At 43.7% G+C, this 6,591-nt stretch overlaps 1 annotated feature.

The window, feature by feature from the left end:
* Nucleotides 5,328-5,859: an enhancer, noted in NCBI's record as "OCT4-NANOG-H3K4me1 hESC enhancer chr19:28781600-28782131 (GRCh37/hg19 assembly coordinates)". NCBI's record gives its function as "activates a minimal SCP1, AML or CMV promoter by ChIP-STARR-seq in naive H9 embryonic stem cells {active_cell/tissue: H9 hESC(naive)}" and the evidence as "EXISTENCE:reporter gene assay evidence [ECO:0000049][PMID:30033119]".

Consider the following 6,591-nt stretch of genomic DNA (forward strand, 5'->3'; position numbering starts at 1 on the left):
AAGCAGGTTGGAGGGGAAGAAGAGGCTAGAAAAATGGAGGAGGTGAGGGGTGAATGGGGAAGAAAAGGTTGGAGGGTGGAAGGGAAGAAGAGGGTGGAGGATGACAGGTAATGGGCTAGAACAAGTGGTTGTATTAGTATAAATTCCCACCAGCAGTGTAAAAGCCTTCTCTATTCACCACATCTTTGACACTATTTATTGTTTTTGATTTTTTAATTATGGCCATTGTAGCTGGAGTAAAGGGTATCTCATTGTGATGTTAATTTGCATTTCCCTGATAATTAGTGATGTTGAGCATTTTCTATATGTTTGTTGGCTGTTTTCATGTATTCTTTTGAGAATGGTTTATTTATTTCCTTTGTTCACTTTTTGATGGGATTATTTGTCTTTTTCTTGCTGATCTGTTTGAGTACCTTGTAGATTCTGGATATTAGTCCTTTGTCAAAAGCATAGTTTGCAAATATTTTCTCCCCCTCTGTGGGTTGTCCATTTACTCTGCTGATTATTTGTTTTGCTGTGCAGAAGCTTTTTGGTTTGATTAGGTCCCATTTATCTATTTTTGTTTATGTTGCCTTTGCTTTTCGGTTCTTGGTTATAAGCCAATGTTTAGGAGAGATTATCTGATGTTATCTTCTAGAATTTTTATGGTTCCACACCTTAGGTTTAAGTCTTTGATCCATCTTGAGTTGATTTTTGTATAAGGTGAGAGATGAGGATCCAGTTTTATTCTTCTACATGTGGCTTACCTATTATCGCAGCTCCACTTGTTGAATAGGGCATCTTTTCCCCACTTTGTTTTTGTTTGCTTTATGGAAGATCAGTTGTCTGTAAGTATTTGACTTTATTTCTGGGTTCTCTATTCTGTTCCATTGGTCTGTGTGGCTGTTTTTATACCAATGCCATGCTGTTTTGGTCACTATAGCCTTGTAGTATAGTTTGAAATCAGGTAATGTGATGCCTCCAGATGTGTTGTTTTTACTTAGTCTTGCTTTGGCTATGAGGGCTCTTTTTGTGTTCCATATGAATTTGTGTACATTGATTTTGTATCCTAAAACAACCTCATCCTTCTTCTAGTAATATTGCTCCAGATATCTCATTAAATTTGATCATTGCACAACATATGTATGCCCTGAAACATAATATTTAACCCCATAATTGTGTACAATGATTATGTGTCAATTAAAAAGAAAAAGAAAGGGGCAGGAGTGGTGATGAGAGAGGAACTGGGCCGGGGCTGACGTTTTGCTGCAGGCAGGGGCAGTGATACCCTTCAGGCTTTAAGCAAGTGTGTTGTCATCTCTGTAAGTCGAGCCCCATGTCTCTTCTAGTGACATGAAAGACCAGGAAGTGCACTTAGCACCTAGGAACCTGCCAGATAGTTCATGTGGGTTTGCATTTGGGGGCACAGTATAAAGGCTGGGTCTTTTTAATGTCTCCACCTCCACCCCCACAAACAGGATGGCAGAGTTTCATTCTCCTGCAAGACACAAATGACCCTACTTTCCTACTTAACCTCCCCCGGGAAACAGCAGGAAAAAGATCATGCCCAGTAAGCTGCTTGAAGAAATGGGTAATGCTCCTATGCTAATTTCATGTTTCAATCCTTTATTGTATTTTCTTTAACAATCGAATTTCGCTTTCAAAATTAATGCATTAATTAAACACTATATCCTGTTCCCAGCAGCCTAATTATCTTTGCCATGTAATCTGTTAAAAGAGCTGGATTAAAATATTTGATTTTAACACATGATTTTCTAAGACAGTTTTCTAAGTGTCCAATATTTGCTAATTGAAGAAAAAATTACTGCTAATTCTGGCCTAAATATTGCCAGTAATAAGCAGCCACATCACCCCATCTCCTGCTGCTTCCGCCACCATTTCCACAGAATCCAACTTCCACCAACCTGAGGATCTGAAGAGTTTGTTGGGAAACTCCCCCGCACCGACAACCCCAAGCCTGATTCTAGCTATCAGGCGGATTTATGCCTTGCATTGTATAGAGGTTAAAGACATATGCAAATTCAAGTCTTGGTACTGCTACTGACCTCTCTGGGCTTTAATGACCACAAGGCATTAGTGTATTTTGTGAATTAACTCTTATATACACCACTTTTATTTACACACTTAGAACAGCGCCCAGCACACAGCTAGAGCTATGGAAGCATTTGCGACGATCATCATTGTCATCATCATCATCATCATCATCGTCATCATCATCATCATCATCGTCAACATCATCATCGCCATCATCGTCGTCATCATTATCATCATCATCATTGCTTCTACTACAATCAAAGGCTTTTTCAGGAGAGGTTCTAATGGGTCATTTACTCTGTGGTGTAAATTTAAGACACTGGGGGAATCTGCAATAACGTCCTAGCCTTAACGGTAAAACAAAAGACATTGCTTCCATGTTAAAATTATTTCACAGAAAGACAAATATCGCATGTTCTCACTCATAAGTGGATGATAAATGTGTTCATGTGGACATAGAGAATGGAATGAGAGAGAAGGGGACTGGGAAGGGTGCCAGGTGGGAGGGGTAAGGATGATGAAAAATCAGTTAATGGGTACAATGTATGTTATTCAGGTAACAGATACCCTAAAAGCCCTGACTTGACCACTATGAAGTCTATGCACATAATTACACATGTACTCCACAAATAAAAATAAGTGAAAATTTAATATCTATATGTTTTAGGCTAAAGGGAGGTGAAGGCCCCACAGGGTGAGTTTTCCTGCCTGAAGAAAACTTCCCAGGGGAGCTCTGTCTGCCTGGACCCCAGCACGCAGCAAGCCTGGCCAGCTTTCCCCTACCCACCTCCCCAGTAGAGGAGTCACCCAGAGCCCATCCTGCTTCAGCCCAGGCACCCGCAGAGCAGGCACTCCTGGGGGAAAGTGAGAGTGAGACAGGCTGGAGTCTCATCAATTTCACACTCAGCAGATCCAGAAGGAGTTTATTTCAGTATACGTGTGTACTTTGTGAAATTGAAGAGGAAAATATCTACATGCATGTGCACACACACCACACACAAATATATACAAATACACACACACATACACACACACAATTTTGATCCAGTTCTGAGCAAATGCATCTAGAGGAGGAAAAATGTTTGTGGGCTGAAAATAGACAAGGGTACCTCCTATTCTCCCAACAGCTCAGAGTTGAGCAGTGTTAACTTAAAAATCACAAGATGTATAAATTAGAAAAGGAGGCTTTCTTATAAAAGGGTACAGCCTACAAGGTGGCTGTCCGCAGGCTGGGAAGCATAGCCTTTGGCCAAGACCAGAGACAGGCACTCTGAAAGAGAAGGGGTTTGGGACAGGAGCTCTATGCTGAGCAGGTTGGCCAAACATACATATTCAACAGATTGCAGGAGAATCCATGAATATTCATGAAGGTGGTCCTGATATATGCATGTGACTATATATGATGCATATTCACTTTGGGGATGAGACAACATTTAACTGTATTAGCCCATCCAAAGGCCTTTTCAGAACACAAGGCACATGACTGTAGAACTTCCAAAAACCAGCCAGAACTAGTCCATGGTCAGCAGTCTCTGATCGGGAGAAAGTTACTGAAATCAGCCTCTTATCTAGTACAGGCTGCAGTTATGGCTGGTGGGACAGGGGTCAGTTAGCCTGCGTCTGTGAGCTGGGTAACTTGTAACTGTTTTAACATTGCTTATCTCCAGGCCAGTGCTTGCTCAGCTGCTGGAGTTTTGAAAAGAAACACCTGTGACAGAGCACAGTTTCTCCTTTAAGTGTGGGAGTGTGGGGCAGGATCTTAGGTCCAGGTTACAATTTGGTATCTATTGCCACAAAAGTCCATTCTGCCAGTCTTACGATCTCTATTTTAACATGAACGCTGGTCACTTGCTGTGTCTGAACCAGAAAGGAGAGGGGTATAAAGAGGCATGTCTGACCGCCCATCCTGTCATGGCAGGAACTCAACTTCTCTGGGTCCCCTTCACCACAAGGCATGTCTGTTTAGTTGATGAGGCTTAGGATTTTATTTTTAGTTTACAGCAGAGAGAGTTTTTCCACCCTGGGTACTGGCAAAGTTTGCTCCCTCCCTCCTCCTGGGGTCTGCAGGGGGTGGGGAGGGGCAGTGCAGGGGGCTCCAGCCCTCAGCTGCAGGCCAGGCGGACAGGGCAGGACACAGCTGCCTGATTCCAGCCCAGCATCAAAGCACCCACATAGCCCAGATCAGAGCAGAAAAAAATGTAAAATGACAGAAAGTTGCTTTTATGTGAATGCACCCAAGCCATGTTGGATCACTGTTTAGAATGATTTGGTATTTCTTTTATTGTTTTTTTTTTTTATTTAGTCAGTGATTTAATTATGAGAACAGCAAATAGTGTTAAAGCTTCATGAGGCGCCAATAGTCCGGGAGGCCTGAAAGAGTAAATACAATGATACTCTGTCATGAAATCTACTGAGTGCCTTGCAGCCACCGGCTCATAGCATTTGGCTCTGCTCCCAGAGAGGCATAAACAATGCAAAAACCCATAATTACTGTGTCAGTCACAACATCCCTGCAGAATACCGAGTTCCACCCCCGGCTGCTGGCTTCCTGGCATTGGACAAGGTGCACAGCCACACCGTCCTCTGCTGGAGAGACCCCAGCGACTAGGCAGCCATGGACACCCAGCATTCTTAGGACTCCTGCCCAGGCCTCCATCTCCCCCCACCCAGAGATGACAGCAAGCACAGCCCAGCCTGCCCCATTTCTTGCTATTCACAGACTTCCAGGGAACTGGGGCTGTGGGCAGGTCTTCCTTCCTCAACTTCACCCAGGGGGCTCCAACTGTAAAAGAAAATAAAACTTAGGACCCTCTGAATGTATTATGCCGAGGAGGAAGGCAAGCCCTGGGGAATGAGTCATGTAGCATATTTGCAGTTTTTCTTCTTAGATGAGAGTTTAACTCTTCCTTGTTGTTGTTCTGTAAATGACTAATCATGGGTTATTATAGATTAAATGATTATAGAGCAAATGTTATATATTAAATTATATAGATTAAATGATTACCATAAAGTCTTGTACCCAACTCAGACCAGATGGTGTCCAAGACCTCAGCACGGTTACAGCCTTAATGTGGAAGGTTAAATATACGTTTTCTGAAAGAAAAAGACCACCTCGTCTAATCAGATCACTATGACTATGCAGTAAGCCTCTCATAGAAAGATGTTTAAATTCTGTTAAACTTTTTTAGGCTTTGTCTGTATACGTGATGTCCTGGGTGGGCCTGTCCTCAACTTTGCGCTTGAATAAACTTTCTTTAAACTAGATTCAGATCCTTTTGATTATTTTAGGTCATCACGACCACTGGGTTCCTAGATATCCTTCTCCCTAGAGCAGTGCTGTCCAATTAAATATAATGCAAGCCACATACGTAGCTTTAGATTTTCTAGTTTAAAAAAATTAACTCAAAAAAATTAATTGCAGTCATGTATCTTATCTATCCCAATATGTCCATAATATTAGTATTTCAATGTGTAAGCCATATTAAAAAATATGAAACAGATATTTTACATTCTTTGGCACTAAACTTTTGAAATCAGGTGTGTACTTGCCACAGCTCATCCCAGTCTAGCCACATTTCAGGTGCCAATAGCCACGTGCAGGTAATGGCACCATATAGCCCAGGGAACCAAAATGGTCTCCCTGAGCCACAGCCTGCCCTGGGCCCTGTGAGCCTGGAACAGCCCCACCATCACCCCACTGTGGCTTTGGAGATAAAGGCAGGGAGGGATTCCATCACAGGGAGACTGCACCTCCATCTGCCCCTAGGAGGTTCTGCCCCAAACATTTTAGTCCCCATGTACACATTCCCAAAGGAGCCTGGACAGCCTGCCTAGCAGCCCCTGCCTCCAGCAACTGCTGCTGCAGTGGAGGAAGACACTAGCTGCCCTCTGCCCCCTCCCTCCCTGCCAGTCAACAGAGAATCTTTGCCAGCCCAACCTGCCCCTCCAGTCCCCTACTTCCCTGCCCCACTCCCTCCACCCAAGCGTTTCTTGAAATGCTGCTCAGCCTGTCCTCTGCTCCCCTGTAGATACCTCACAAAGAGGCCCTGCTGAGCAGTTCAGTTTCCAGTGGTGCAAATAAATAAAGTGGTTGGTGTTTCAGATAAAAGAGGAGAGATTCCCAGCCTCCCCACTCCCAGGGGAGCGCTGAAATCTCCTGCACTGCTGCTTCTCACTGGGGGATGGCTTACAGAACAGCCCCTTCTGGAAGACCCCCACCCCTCCTGCCTTTAACTCCAAGGACCCTGAGGTCACATTCCCTCCTCTTGTCTGCTCAAATATTCTGATTCTCCCTTCAACTTCTGTTCCTTTCCTCCTATATTCAAGGAAAAAGTGTCTTTTTTTTTCTGGTTCCAAGCAAATCCTACCTCTTGAAGCCCTGGTCCTGTCTTTACTCCTCTACTCAGGCCTCAGTCACTCAGTCTCTAGTCTCTTGCACCTTCAGTCTCTGCTTCTCCCTAGTCTCTTTCTGCAGCCCCAAAACAAGTCTCTTCCCTCAGCCATCACCACCAGCTCCCACTGCAACATACCTCAACCTCCTGGTTATATCTATTTCCT

This window comes from Homo sapiens, chromosome 19 (genome assembly GCF_000001405.40).
Source record: "Homo sapiens chromosome 19, GRCh38.p14 Primary Assembly".
In the NCBI taxonomy this organism is placed as follows: domain Eukaryota; kingdom Metazoa; phylum Chordata; class Mammalia; order Primates; family Hominidae; genus Homo; species Homo sapiens.